Below are 14,271 nucleotides of genomic sequence, written 5' to 3'. Positions count from 1 at the left end.
TAAGGGAATAAGGGTTACAGCACATTATGAACCTAGTATTATGGACTGCATATTTGTTTTCTCCCCAGATTTACATGCCGAAGCCCTAACCCCCAATGGGATGGTATTGGGAGGTAGTGCCTTTGTGCTGGAGTGGGTTAGGAAAGAGAATCCTGTGTGATTTTGGTGATTTAAAAATCATCCCTTGAGTAAAATTATGTTTCTTGCATGAGTTCATGGAGTAAGACTCGCAAGTATAGTTGACTTTACCTCATTTAATGGGACTGTTATGAGGGGAGAGATTCAATCTGTTTTGTGATGATCCTAAGAGCACAACCTGAAACCAAAGTTTGAAGGTTTGGGGTGGCAGATTTGACTTCATATCCCACATGGTTCCTAACCATTCAGGCTTTCCCACAATAAAGTGCCGATTTCTACTGCCAGGTACTGATTTCTCACCACTGGAATCATTAATGATCCTGTGATCATGGTATCTCCCCTGCCAGGTAAGTATACATCTATGATTCTGGATGCCAGTAGTCAGAGATACTGTGGAAAGATTCCCATAAAGCCTAGATGACATTCCCCATGCTGTTGCATTTCCCAAGACTGTTTTTGATTTGGACTATTTCCTAAACAACACTTTGAAATCTATAAGTTTCCTAAATTCTTATGTCTACCATATTAAATAATTGTGTTTTAACCCATATTTTAGTCTATCCCATTGCTAATATAAGCTAATGGTCTCATTATGAATTATATACATTGCTTTATTTTTGCATTTATAAATGTCTCGTGAATATCCAAACTACATATGTACTTTTGAAACATCCTTTATTGAGTACCTATTATGTGAAATGTACTGCGCTAGGATGGTGCATGGTAAATATAAAGATACTACTCCTCTCCATAAAGAATTATAGACCAGTTGGTAAGACAAGCAACACACACACACATTGTACATAAACATCAGACTAATGAGTGATGCTAACAGTAACCTTAATAGGAGTTTGGTGGGGGTGCAACCACCCAACGGGTTCACCTTGCTCACTGCCTAGACAGGCTGATTTATCAAGACAGGGGAATCGCAATAGAGAAAGAGTAATTCATGCAGACCCGGCTGTGTGGGAGACCAGAGTTTTATTATTACTCAAATCAATCTCCCCGAAAACTCGAGGATTGGTGTTTTTAAGGATAATTTGGTGGGTAGGGGACCACTGAGTCAGGAGTGATAATTGGTCGGGTCAGAGATGAAATCGTAAGGAGTCAAAACTGTCCTCTTGCACTGAGTCACTTTCTGGGTGGAGGCCACAAGACTAGATGAGCCTGTTTATTGATCTGGGTGGTGCCAGCTGATGCATTGAGTGCAGGGTCTGCAAAATATCTCAAGCACTGATCTTAGGTTTTACAATAGTGATTTTATTCCCAGGAGCCATTTGGGGAGGTTTACAATCTTGCAGCCTCCAGTTTCATGACTGCTAAACCATAACTTCTAATCTTGTAGCTAATTTGTTAGTCCTGCAAAGGCAGTCTAGTCCCCAGGCAGGAAGGGGGTTTGTTTGGGGGAAAGCACCGTTATATTCTTTGTTTCCAAGCTAAACTATAAACTAAGTTCCTCCCAAAGTTAGTTTGGCCTACACCTAGGAATGGACAGCTTGAATGTTAGAAGAAAGGTAGTATCGGTTAGGTCAGACCTCTTTCACTGTAATTTCTCAGTTATGATTTTTGCAAAGGCGGTTTCATAGGGAGAGTGTCTAAGCCAGTGGGATTTCATTAAAAAGGTTTGAACAGAGATGCGGAGGGGAAGTACCTGGGTATGAACTGATTTTTTTTTAAAGTAAATTTTACAGGGCCTAAAACACTAGTTTCGCTATCCTCATAAATAGTTCTCAACCCCGACCGCACGTCGTATGTTCTCAGTTGGCTGAGTTATACTTTGTATTCACTAAATCAGAATTTCTAAGGGCAAGGCTCAAGCATATGTGTTTTTCAAAGTATCTCTAGGCGATTCCAGTATAGAACCAGGGTCGCTAGCTACCAAACCATACAAATAAAATGAACCACTCCATTTCGAGGTAGTGGACATAGTATATAATAATGATAAAGAAGCACACTCCTACTCATGAAGACTTCCTCCCTTTTCAGAATCAATAAGGTAATGCTCAAGGACTGAAGGAATGTTTTGAGTTTAAAGCAAAGCAGGTTTCAGGAAGAGAAACATTATCTTAGGCAGTTCTAATCGTTTAGAGCTTTTAACGTATTTAAAAGATCTTTGTAGCCTCTTGAGACTTTTTTAAGTTGTTTTATGCATTACAGGATCCGTGTGTAGCCTGGGTCTGACAGAATACAGAATACAGGCACTGTGATGGTGCGGGCTCACTCTGCAAGAAAATGCAGTTAGTTGAAAACTGGAACCCAGGACTGACTTTCCATGGTCAGTTTGTTTGATCGTTTTGTTAAAAAAAAAAAAAAAAAAAAACAAGGCAGAGTGCGGTAGCTCATGCCTGTAATCCCAGCGGTTTGAGAGGCCAAGGCGGGCGGATCGCCTGAGGTCGGGAGTTCGAGACCAGCCTGACCAACATGGAGAAACTCTGTCTTTACTAAAAATACAAAATTAGCCAGGCGTGGTGGCGCATGTCTGTAATCCCAGCTACCCGGGAGGCTGAGGCAGGAGAATCGCTTGAACCCAGGAGGCGGAGGTTGAGGTGAGCCGAGATTGCACCATTGCACTCCAGCCTGGGCAACCAGAGTGAAACTCCGTCTCAAAAAAACAAAAAACAGACAAAAAACCTTCTAGTGTATGCCGTTAACAAGTCCCTGATTAGCCACTATTTTTAATAAAACACATCTCCCAAAAGCAAAAGCAATAAAATTGTGTGTGAGTAAAAGAATATGACTACAAACAGCTGGGGACCTAGGGGAAGAATCCCGTTTCCACCCCCTAGAAATAAACCAATGCCCAATAAAACAACGTACCCTGGTGATGTTTTCTACCCTTGAATAGAGAAATAACAGGAAGCGCCTTGACCTTGACAGCCCTAAGAAAGAAAACCATGAACAGCCTCTACTTTTTGAAGCAGCATACGAACCACATATATGTAATTTTTAATTTTCTAGGAGCCACATTAAAAAGCATAGAAAGAAACAGGTGAAGTTAATTTTAATCTTATAAATATATTCCAACTATTATTTCAACATGTAATTTTAAAACTTGGATATTTTACTTAAAAAAACAGTTTTCAAAATCCTGTGTGTATCTTACACTTACACACATCTCAGTTTGGAGTAGCCACATTTCAGGTGCTCAAATAGCCAAGTATGACTGGTAGCTATCATACTGGACAGCACAATCCCATGCAGTTAGGATTTCAGGCTCTGGAGTCAGAGTTCTAGATATGAATTTTTCTTTCTTTCTTTCTCGCTTTCTCTTTCTTTCTTTTTTCTTTTCTTTCTTTCTTTCTCTCTTTCTTTCCCTCCTTCCTCCCTCCCTCCCTCCTTTCCTTCCCCGTCTCCCTCCCTCTCTCCCTCCCTCTCTCTTTCTTCTTTTCTCTTCTCTTTTTTTCTTTTGTTTTCTTTTCTTTCTTGATTAGTCTTGTTCTGTTGCCCAGATTGGAGTGCAGTGGCACCATCTTGGCTCACTGCAAACTCCACCTCCCGGTTCAACTGATTCTTCTGCCTTGGCCTCCCAAGTAGCTGGGATTATAGGGGCCCCCACCACGCCGGGCTAATTTTTGTATTTTTAGTAGAGACAGGGTTTCACCGTGTTGACCATGCTGGTCTCGAACTCCTGACCTCAAGTGATCCTCCTGCCTCAGCCTCCCAAAGTGCTAGGATTACAGGCATGAGCCACCGTGCCCAGCCTAGGTTTGAATTCTTTCTCCACCAATTTCTCTTTACCCTTGAGCAAATCGATTAGACACTTTACTCCTATGTTCTTATTTGTAAGGTAAGAATAACAACACCTACTTTAAAGAGGTGTTTGGTGGTTGAAGGACTCAATGAATAGTTGTGGTTGTTGATAGTCTTATCCAGTGTTATCTTTCCACTATACCAAGTGAAAATCTAACTCATCTGAATGTTTGCATTTAATCTACCTCTTTCACTGAGTAGCTTTGTGTGATTGTGGGGATGATTCTTTACCTCTCTATGCCTCTTTCTTTATCTGTCTCATTGGAAATAATGGTTCCAAACTCAGAGGATTGACATCAGAGTTAAATGGAAAAATACATCCGAAAGTGCTCTGTAAACTGGCAACAGTCATTTTTAAAGTGGAACTAGAGCCATTGATAGATGGCATGATTTGTGACTTAAAAACAATTGGGATTGCAGGGGTGGTTATGTGATTGTGTAAAAACTCAGAATTGTACCCCTAAAATGGTTGGATTTTCCTGCTTGTAGGTTATCCTCAATCTGATTTTTAAGAAAAAACAATTTGGGGGATTCCTGTTTTTAAAAGGTAGAAGTTTTCTTTTCTATGGACTTCTCAGAGCTTTAAATACACTAATGTGGATCATGAATTTCTGAGTGAAACATGTCCCATAATTGATCACTGCACTCCTTTTTTTGCAGAACATCCTATATAATTATCGTACTCCGGGAACCATAGGTTCTTGACCACTGAAAGCTTCACTGAAAAATCACTAATGTAAGGCAGACTGATTAACAGAAGAAAAGGCATACAAATTTATTTAATGTGTGTACATGGGAGCCTTAAGAATGAAGACCCAACATCCTGAGCCACAGTAAAGAATACAGACTCAGAGGGTGGCCAGAAACAGGTTATGTTGATAAATCAGCAGGTGATGAGGGAGAAAGTAACAATCTTGGCTAGCAAAGGTGGCCTTGTTATGTAAATGAAACCTCCCTTGGAGAGAATAGATGGTAAATGTTTCTTTTCAGACTTTTAAAACGGTCAAACACTCAGCCTCTCCTGGATTCAAGAAAGGCATAGAAAGGGGAGGGGGCATGGCGGCATTAATGGAAATTCTCTACAGATGCATATTTTCCCCACAAAAGACAGCTTTGCAAGGCCACTTCTATTTGCTGGCCAGGTGGCAGCCATTTCAAAATATGTCAAAGAAATATATTTTGGGGTAAAATATTTTGATTTCCTTCAATAGCAACAAACACAATTTGAGAAATGCTGCTGTAAACTACCAGGCAAATATATGCAGCTAACAGTTATTAAGTTTATTCCATGATATCTAAAGATTATAGAAGACTCAGATCACTTGACCCATTTGATCATGCCCTCCTCCTGGATGCGTTTTCTTTATTTGACTTACAGGATAACATCCTTTGCTGGTATTCTTCACACCTCACTAGCCACTTCTTAGTATTCCTTGCTGACTATATCTCTTCTTGCTAAACTCTAAATGTTGTAGTGTCCTTAACCTCAGCCTTTGAACTTCATTCCCTAGTTGATCTTATCTATTCTCTCTGTTTAATATCATCTAGATCCTGTTGAGACCCAAACATAAACCTCCCTCTCTAAAATTTCTGCTGAGCACCCCCACATCACTGCTTGGATTTTTGTGCATCTAAATTGACAAGTCCAAATATAACCCATACCCCATCAAACTAGACCACGCTTGTCCAACTCATGGCCTGTGGGTGGCATGCAGCCCAGGACAGCTTTGAGTGCGGCCCAACAAATTCATAAACCTTATTAAAACATATGAGATTATTTTGTGTTTTTTAAAGCTCATCAGCTATTGTTAGTGTTACTGTATTTTATGTGTGGCCCAAGACAATTCTTCTTCCAATGTGGCCCAGGGAAGCAAAATGATTGGACACCACTGAACTAGACCTTACCTCATCTTTCCCATCACAGTCAATGGCACTGCCATTCACTTAGCCAATTAATTGGGCCAAAGACACAAATTTCATCTTTGATTCCTTTTTTTATTTCACACATCAGATCTAGTCCTTCAACAGCTTTGGTCAGCTCTACCTTCAAAATAGATCCATAATCTGACTATTTACCATGATCTGCATCTCCACCCTCAGCCAAGTGACCCTCATGTCTCATATGGCCCACATAGTAGCCTCACAATAGCTCTCCTTGCTTCCACTCTTGCCCTGACATGGTCTTTTTTTTTTTTTTTTTTTTTTTTTTTTTGAGCCAGAGTCTTGCTCTGTCACCCAGGCTGGAGTGCAGTGGCACAGTCTCGGCTCACTACAACCTCTACCTCTTGGGTTCAAGCAATTCTCCTGCCTCAGCCTCCCAAGTAGCTGGGATTACAGGCACCTGCCACCACACCTGGCTAATTTTTGTATTTTTAGTAGAGATGGGGGTTTCACCATGTTGGCCAGGCTGGTCTCGAACTCCTGACCTCAGGTGATCCATCCACCTTGGCCTCCCAAAGTGCTAGGATTATAGGCATGAGCCACTGCACCCAGCGATTTTTTGCACAATAATCTGAATGGCCTTTCTAAAATGTAAATCACAACTTGTCATTCGCCTCCTCAAAACCTACCATGATATGTGATCATTTTTAGAATAAAACCCAAACTCTTTATTAAAGACTACAGGGCCTTACGTGATATTTTCCCTACCTAGTTTTTAACCATATCTATTAAAAATTCTGTCTGTTGCCACCACTGCTATAGCCATTCTGGCCTTCTTGCTATTCCTCAAATAGGTTAAGCTTGTTCCTGTTCCAGGGTCGTTGCACTTGCTTTGACTTGATTGTTTTCTCCAATATTTGTATTGCTCCCTGCCAACCCATTTCATTCAAATGTCACCTTTCTTCAGAGATACTTTCTTTGACTATTTAAATATTTTCTATCTGCAGTACTCTACATAGCATGTTTCACTAACTGATGGTATTTTAGTTTTCTCTTTGTCAGTCTCATTAAAAAACAAGATACGCTAAGGAAGGCATTTTTGTCTGTGTTGTCTACTACCGTATCCCCATGGCTAGAAAACTGCTTATCATGTGGTGGACATTCAGTTGATATTGAATGAATCTGTTACATTTTTCTTAGACATGGCTAGAAGAAAATTGATACTCAAAGAGTAGAAAACATTTTTATCAATGAAATTCCTTATAGATTTGAAAACATCAGCTATTAAGAACTCAATAGTACTCTCAGATTTGCTGTTTATCCACAAAAAACAGAACCTTCAGTTTCTATCTTTGCCCCCTTTCCCAATAGGAGGGCAGACCAAGTCCTCTGAGACAGATACTAATGATGATAATGATAATGATCATATCAACCACACTGTTTTAGTCTAATTGAGCTGCTATAACAAAATGCCACAGACTGGGACATTTATAAACAATAAAAATGTATTGCTCAAAGTTCTGGAGGCTGGAAAGTCTAAGATCAAGGCACTGATTGTTGAGGTGTTGGTGACAGCCTGTTCTGTTTTTCGAAGATGGTATTTTCTTTTTGTGTTTTTAATTGGCAGAAGGGGCAAGGCAGGAGTTCCCTTCGACTTTTTTTTTTTTTCTTTTTTTGAATAGACCAGGGTCTTGCTATGTTTCCTAGGCTGGTCACAAACTCCTGGGCTCGAGTGACCCTACTTCCTCAGCCTCCCCAATTGCTGGGATTATAGAAATGAGCCACTGTACCCAGCCCAACCTCTTTTATAAGGACACTAATTCCATATACAAGGGTGATGTTCTCATGACTTAATCAGTTCCCAAAAGGCTCTAACTCTTTTTTTTTTGGAGACAGAGTCTTGCTCTGTTGCCCAGGCTGGAGTGCAGTGGCATAATCTCAGATCACTGCAAGCTCTGCCTCTCAGGTTCATGCCATTCTCCTGCCTCAGCCTCCCGAGTAGCTGGGACTACAGGTGCCCACCACCACACCCGGCTGATTTGTTTGTATTTTTAGTAGAGATGGGGTTTCACCGTGTTAGCCAGGATTGTCTTGATCTCCTGACCTCGTGATCCACCTGCCTTGGCCTCCCAAAGTGCTGGGATTACAGGCGTGAGCCACAGCACCCAGCCTGCCCTAACTCTTAATATATCATGCTGGATATTCTGTTCCAACATATGAATTTGAGGGTGACACCACAATTCAGACCATACTGCATACTTAGCATTTATTGCATGTATAATAGTTGCCAGCAACTTTCTCTCTCTCTCTCTTTTTTTTTTTTTTTTTTTTTTTTGAGACAGAGTTTCACTCTTGTTGCCCAGGCTGGAGTGCAATGGCGTGATCTCGGCTCACCACAACCTTCACCTCCCGGGTTCAAGGGATTCTCCTGCCTTAGGCTCCCAAGTAGCTGGGATTACAGGCATGTGCCACCACGCCTAGCTAATTTTGTATTCTTAGTAAAGATGGGTTTTCTCCATGTTGGTCAGGCTGGTCTCAAACTCCCAACCTCAGGTGATCCTCCCACCTTGGCCTCCCAAAGTGCCGGGATTACAGGCGTGAGCCACCGCGCCCGGCCAGGTGACAGCAACTTTCTAACTGTACCATATGTATTAACTCATTTAATCTTCATAGCAAGTTTATCAGGTAGATATTACTATTATCTTATAATTTTGTAAAGGATGAACCTGCAGCACAGAGAGGGTTATTAAATCACCTGAGGTTGGAAAGTGAGAAAGCTAGTTAGCAAGTTAGGGACACACAACTTGAAACCAGACACTCAGATTCCACATTTTCACTCACGTCTGTGTGAAGAGACCACCAAACAGGCTTTGTGTGATCAATAAAGGTTTTTAATCACCTGGGTGCAGGCGGGCTGAGTCCAAAAAGAGAGTCAGCGAAGGCAGATAGGGTAGGGCCGTTTTATAAGATTTGGGTAGGTAAAGGAAAATTACAGTCAAAGGGGTGTTGTTCTCTGGTGGGCAGGAGTGGGGGTCACAAGGTGCTCAGTAGGGGAGCTTTTGAGCTAGGATGAGCCAGGAGAAGGAACTTCACAAGATAATGTCATCACTTAAGGCAAGGACTGGCCATTTTCACTTCTTTTGTGGTGGAATGTCATCAGTTAAGGCAAGGACCGGCCATTTTCGCTTCTTTTGTGGTGGAATGTCATCAGTTAAGGCAAGGAACAGGCCATCTGGATGTATACGTGCAGGTCACAGGGGATATGATGGCTTAGCTTGGGCTCAGAGGCCTGACACACATTATTCTCTTTTCTCCCAATAAGGCCTCCCCAAGGGGAGTAGACATTAGCCAGAGTTCATGTTCCTCGTCTCTGTTCCTTACGGCTGGAGATCCATCTCCTCTTTCTGCTAAATACTTAAAGCCAGAAGCTCTCTTGCATATCAACTTTTGTAGATAAGTGCGTGGGTGTATGAAGCAGGGCTGCCAGATCCTCCCATTTAATGACTTAGGATGTCACACACAGCATGATAAATTATTCTTCGTCACAACAGGATTATTTCAGATGGAAAAGGATAATATTTTGTCTTATTTTAGAGAAGGTTCACGATCCAGAAAAAATATTTTTAACTTGTCTCAGGTCACAGTTGTTGGAATCAGGAGCAAATCTTATTAATAGCTTCTGATGCCAAGGGACAATGAAGTTTTGCATGTAAGAGGATGCTCAAGTTCTGGCCAGTTAAATCTCTGAAAAGAGACAAGAGGACCACTCTCAGCCCCGTTGTGAACCTGGCTGGGGGTCTTAGAAAGCCACGAGGAAGGGGCATTGTGGAGTTCAAGTGCATCAGCAGCAGCAAGTGATTGGTTTATAGGGGTGCTTCTTGTGGTGCTTAGAATTCTTCACGGGGCTTCATCTACATATCATATCGCATTCAGAGCAGGGAGTGACTGCAGGTCCCGCTACTCAGATATGTGACCTTAGACAAGCTAGCAACCTCTTTGCCTTGGTTTCCTTCTTTGTAAAAGGGAGGTCATGATAGAAGATATTGCATAGAGTTGCTGTGAGGATTCAATGATTTAAAGAAAGCACTTATAAGTGCTCAATAATATCAGCTACTGCTAGTTTTCTCCATTGTCCTGGTTTTCAAACATTTTTGTACCTGATCTCTTTTGACAACTTTATCTTACCTACCTCTATTATGATTTGTGTGTGTGTGTTTTGTTTGTTTGTTTGTTTGTTTTGTTTTGTTTTTTTTGAGACAGAGTCTCACTCTGTCACCCAAGCTAGAGTGCAGTGGCACGATCTTGGCGATCTCCGCTCACTGCAACTTCCACCTCCCAGATTCAAGTGATTCTTCTGCCTCAGCCCCCTGAGTAGATGAGACTACAGGCACCTGCCATCATGCCTGGCTAATTTTTGTATTTTTTTTAAGTAGAGACAGAGTTTCACCATGTTGACCAGGCTGGTCTCGAACTCCTGACCTCAAGTGATCTGCCTGCCTCCGCCTCCCAAAGTGTTGGGATTACAGGCATGAGCCACTGCACCCGGGCCATACCTCTATTATGAAGGGACATATTTTCCCTATCAGTTTATTATTTATTTATTTTAAGAGACAGGGTCTCGTCATGTTGCCTATGCTGGTCTTGAACTAGACTCAAGCAATCCTCCCCGTTCTGACTCCCAAAGGACTGGGATTACAGGTGTGAGCCAACAGGCCCAGCCCTCCCCATCAGTTTAAATCTCAGGGTTTTGTTTTTTGCCCTGGGGAAGGGGAACATGATCTCAATAATGGGCCAATTCAACCAGCAAAAAATTGTAAAATTTGTAATTATATATATGTTATTCCATTTATTTAAAAACTTAAAGCTTTTAACACAATATCCTATATTCTGTATGAATACATATGAAGGAGAAGTATGAAAAGATTCAGGGGAAAGATGTACACCAAGCAGTGCTGCCTGCTTTTTTTTTTTTTTTTTTTTGAGACAGGGTCTTGCTCTGTTTCCCAGGCTGGAGTGCAGTGATATGATCATAGCTCATTGCAGTCTCCACCTCCTGGGCTCAAGTAATCCTCCTGTCTCAGCCTCCCAAGCAGCTGGGACTATAGATGCACACCACTATGCCCAGCTAATTATTATTATTATTATTTTGTAGAGACGATTTCTTACTATGTTGCCCAGGTTGGTCTTGAATTCCTGGGCTCAAGTGATCCTCCTGCCTCAGCCTCCCAAAGTGCTGGGATTACAGTTGTGAGCCACCCCACCCAGCTAAGCAATGCTCTCTGGAGAGGTGATAAAGGGGCTATTTTCAGGAAGTCAGGGTATAGGGGCTTCACATGTGTGTAACTGTCTTACTTTTTAAAAAAGATGTTGGAGGCCGGGCGCGGTGGCTCACGCCTGTAATACCAGCACTTTGAGAGGCCAAGGTGGGCAGATCACAAGGTCAGGAGTTTGGGACCAGCCTGGCCAGTATGGTGAAACCCTGTTTCTACTAAAAATACAACAATTAGCTGGTAGTGGTTGCAGGTGCCTGTAGTCCCAGCTACTTGGGAGGCTGAGACAGGAAAATCCCTTGAACCTGGGAGGTGGAAGTTGCAGTGAGCAGAGATCGCGCCACTGCACTCCAGCCTGGGGGACAAAGTGAGACTCCATCTCAAAATAAATAAATAAATAAAACATAAAAAAGATGTTGGTCCTACCTACTTGGGAGGCTGAGGCAGGAGGATTGGTTGACCTCAGGAGTTCTGGGTTACAGTGGGTTATGATCACACCACTGCAGTCCAGCCTGGGTGACAGAATGAGACCCTGTCTCTAAAATAAATAAATAATTAATTTTAAAACTCTGGATAAAGAAGAAAAAATGTTAAGACTTGTTAAGTTTAGGTGGCAAGTATGTATTGATTATATTATCCTCTATATCTCATATGTTTGAGATATTTTATAAAATCTTTTTGAAAATAAACATATTGAGAGTACAACTGGGCCTTAACAATTCTAAGCAACATATTTGGCTAGCATTGTCTTTCCATATTAGCCAATTCCTTGACTAAACAGACTAAATTGTCTTTGTCAGCCCTGGTGATGCATTTATTCTGCCAGTAGAGGTCACCATGCAATGAAATATTTCGTTAAACAATAGACTACGTGGTATAATGCAAAGATTTTTCAATCCTTCTTTTTCTTTAATCTATAAAATTCGTTCTTACAAGTTCACATGTAACCCCAATATGCCAAAGGGCTAAACACAAAATGGGGTGGAGGCCTGAGATCCCTGAAGCTGGTTTGAAAGCAACTGTGCAAATACAAGTAACATTTGTGACTGCGGCATATTATGTTTGCTTTTCTGGCCTTAAAAATTTCTGCTGATTTCAAAATGTAAGTTTTCTCTATTTGTTCTCCACAGAGCACCAATGTGGAATCTTTTGGAACTAAGTCTATCAGAGGGAGGTGAGGAGCATGGAGCCACCCTTTCAGAGGATGCCTTGGTGGAAAAGGCAAAGGTGGTACCCACTGGCACCCCACGCTCCCACTAGTATTCTCCTTTGCCTCCCAGAAGGGTCCTTTCAATGCTCACTCTGCATCAGGGCTGCTTTTATTTTTACTTACAAATATTCTCTTTTCTATCATAGATAATTTACCTCTCTCCTTGGATCATTTAGCATGATTTTGGTTGAAAATAGCAGAAAACCTCATTTACAATAGTTCAAATCACAAGGAGAATGTATTATATCATATAACAAGAAGGCTGGGTGTGGGTCACTGCCAATGTAGGTCAATCATTGGCTCAGCAACATCATCAAAGGCCCAGGTTCTTTTCATCTGTCCACTCTCCCCCACTCAGTGCATCCCTGCCTTCTTTTTGAATGCTCCCCTTCATCGTATAAGAAGATTGGCCAGAGAGAATTCCTCTTGCATCCTGTAGAGCAGGCATCCCCAACCCCCAGGCCGTGGACTAGTACTGGTCTGTGGCCTATTAGGAATGGGGCCCGCACAGCAGGAGGTGGACGGCAGGTGAGTGAGCAAAGCTTCATCTGTATTTACAGCCACTCCCCATCACTTGCATTACCGCCTGAGCTCCCCCTGTCAGATCAGTGTGGCATTAGATTCTCATAGGAGCGCTGTATTAGTTAGCTTTCTCTAGAGGGACAGAACTAATAGGATAGATCAGTTATATATATATGAAGTATATATGAAGGGGGGTTTATTAAGGAGTATTGACTCACACAATCGCAAGATGAAGTCCCACAATAGGCTGTCTGCAAGCTGAGGAGCAAGGAAACTTGTCTGAGTCCCAAAACCTCAAAATAGGAAGCCAAAAATACAACCTTTGTGGCCAAAGGCCCGAGAGACGCTGGCAAATCACCAGCAAGAGCACAGAAGATGTGCTTGGGCATTGTCTTCTCCCTGGGAGGCCCCTGACCAATGACCGGTGGGGCAGGAGTATGAAGTCTAGCTCCCTTGCCTTCATGGGACAGCTCTGTGGTGAAATGTACACTTCCAGAGTTCTGTGGAATCAGTGAGAGTCACCTTTGCTTGGTCTCCTCCCCTTCCCTGTCCTGCTTCCTCCACTTCCTCTCTTGTCACACCTGGGACCACTTCCATGATAAATTATTTGCACATAAATTCCCATCTTGGTGTTAAACCTGACCTAAGCCACATACCTTTAATTTGAAAAGAAATTCTCACAGGAGACCCCCAGCCAACTTCCCCTACCTCTCATTGACCACAAGAGGGTCACATGCTTATGCCTTAGCCAACTCTACCTCAAGAGAATGAGATCCCCAAAGCTGACTTAGAGAGTAATCACAGGCCATGTGTGGTGGCCCCCATCTGTAGTCCTAGCACTTTGGGAGGCCAAGGTGGGAGGATTGCTTGAAGCCAGGAGTTCCAGACTGGCTTGGTCAACATAGTGAGACCTGTCTTTAAAAAACAAAGAGAAAGAAAAGAAAAAGACCAATCATGATTTACCTCTGGAGCTGGAGCTGGGGGAGTTCAGAGTCTCCTGAAGCATATGGCTGTGGATACTGGGGGGTGAGAGATGTAGGGGTGGATATCAGGCTTTGGCCTGCAGGAGAATTGAGGCAGAAAAAGGCAACCAACAGTGCCTTTTTCTCCAGGGTCTGACTCTCCATATGGGAGGTAGCTATTCTTGCCTAAAAATGCAATAATTCTCCCCTCCCATTGAAATGATAGTTTGAGTACAGGATGCACAAGTGGAAGTAGCTGGAAGATATTGTTCATTGTCTTTTAGCTTCCAGGAATACTATAGAGAGATCTGATACATTTATAGTTTTTAATCCTTTGTTTGGAAGCTATTTTTTCCTGTCTGGGAGGTTTCATAATTTTCCCTTTATCTCTAGTCATCTGAAATGTCATGATACTGTTCTCTCATGTAGTTTTATTTTTATTTATTGTACTGGACCCTTGGTGGTTATTTTTAATCTGGAAAATTATATTATTTATTCTATCTTATATGTTGATAAATTGTGTTATTTCTGGTAATTT

General features: G+C 42.0%; 7 annotated features.

Moving 5' to 3' along the window:
* Nucleotides 2,032–2,574: an enhancer, noted in NCBI's record as "H3K27ac hESC enhancer chr8:73916589-73917131 (GRCh37/hg19 assembly coordinates)". NCBI's record gives its function as "activates a minimal SCP1, AML or CMV promoter by ChIP-STARR-seq in naive H9 embryonic stem cells {active_cell/tissue: H9 hESC(naive)}" and the evidence as "EXISTENCE:reporter gene assay evidence [ECO:0000049][PMID:30033119]".
* Nucleotides 2,575–3,117: an enhancer, noted in NCBI's record as "H3K27ac hESC enhancer chr8:73916046-73916588 (GRCh37/hg19 assembly coordinates)". NCBI's record gives its function as "activates a minimal SCP1, AML or CMV promoter by ChIP-STARR-seq in naive H9 embryonic stem cells {active_cell/tissue: H9 hESC(naive)}" and the evidence as "EXISTENCE:reporter gene assay evidence [ECO:0000049][PMID:30033119]".
* Nucleotides 4,205–4,747: an enhancer, noted in NCBI's record as "OCT4-NANOG-H3K27ac-H3K4me1 hESC enhancer chr8:73914416-73914958 (GRCh37/hg19 assembly coordinates)". NCBI's record gives its function as "activates a minimal SCP1, AML or CMV promoter by ChIP-STARR-seq in naive and primed H9 embryonic stem cells {active_cell/tissue: H9 hESC(naive and primed)}" and the evidence as "EXISTENCE:reporter gene assay evidence [ECO:0000049][PMID:30033119]".
* Nucleotides 4,748–5,291: an enhancer, noted in NCBI's record as "OCT4-NANOG-H3K27ac-H3K4me1 hESC enhancer chr8:73913872-73914415 (GRCh37/hg19 assembly coordinates)". NCBI's record gives its function as "activates a minimal SCP1, AML or CMV promoter by ChIP-STARR-seq in naive and primed H9 embryonic stem cells {active_cell/tissue: H9 hESC(naive and primed)}" and the evidence as "EXISTENCE:reporter gene assay evidence [ECO:0000049][PMID:30033119]".
* Nucleotides 5,292–5,834: an enhancer, noted in NCBI's record as "NANOG-H3K27ac-H3K4me1 hESC enhancer chr8:73913329-73913871 (GRCh37/hg19 assembly coordinates)". NCBI's record gives its function as "activates a minimal SCP1, AML or CMV promoter by ChIP-STARR-seq in primed H9 embryonic stem cells {active_cell/tissue: H9 hESC(primed)}" and the evidence as "EXISTENCE:reporter gene assay evidence [ECO:0000049][PMID:30033119]".
* Nucleotides 5,835–6,379: an enhancer, noted in NCBI's record as "NANOG-H3K27ac-H3K4me1 hESC enhancer chr8:73912784-73913328 (GRCh37/hg19 assembly coordinates)". NCBI's record gives its function as "activates a minimal SCP1, AML or CMV promoter by ChIP-STARR-seq in primed H9 embryonic stem cells {active_cell/tissue: H9 hESC(primed)}" and the evidence as "EXISTENCE:reporter gene assay evidence [ECO:0000049][PMID:30033119]".
* Nucleotides 9,240–9,851: an enhancer, noted in NCBI's record as "OCT4-NANOG hESC enhancer chr8:73909312-73909923 (GRCh37/hg19 assembly coordinates)". NCBI's record gives its function as "activates a minimal SCP1, AML or CMV promoter by ChIP-STARR-seq in naive H9 embryonic stem cells {active_cell/tissue: H9 hESC(naive)}" and the evidence as "EXISTENCE:reporter gene assay evidence [ECO:0000049][PMID:30033119]".

The sequence above is a fragment of the Homo sapiens genome, chromosome 8, assembly GCF_000001405.40.
Source record: "Homo sapiens chromosome 8, GRCh38.p14 Primary Assembly".
NCBI classification, from domain to species: domain Eukaryota; kingdom Metazoa; phylum Chordata; class Mammalia; order Primates; family Hominidae; genus Homo; species Homo sapiens.
Note: the sequence above shows the minus strand (reverse complement) of the source record. Positions and strands in the feature narration are given on the sequence as shown.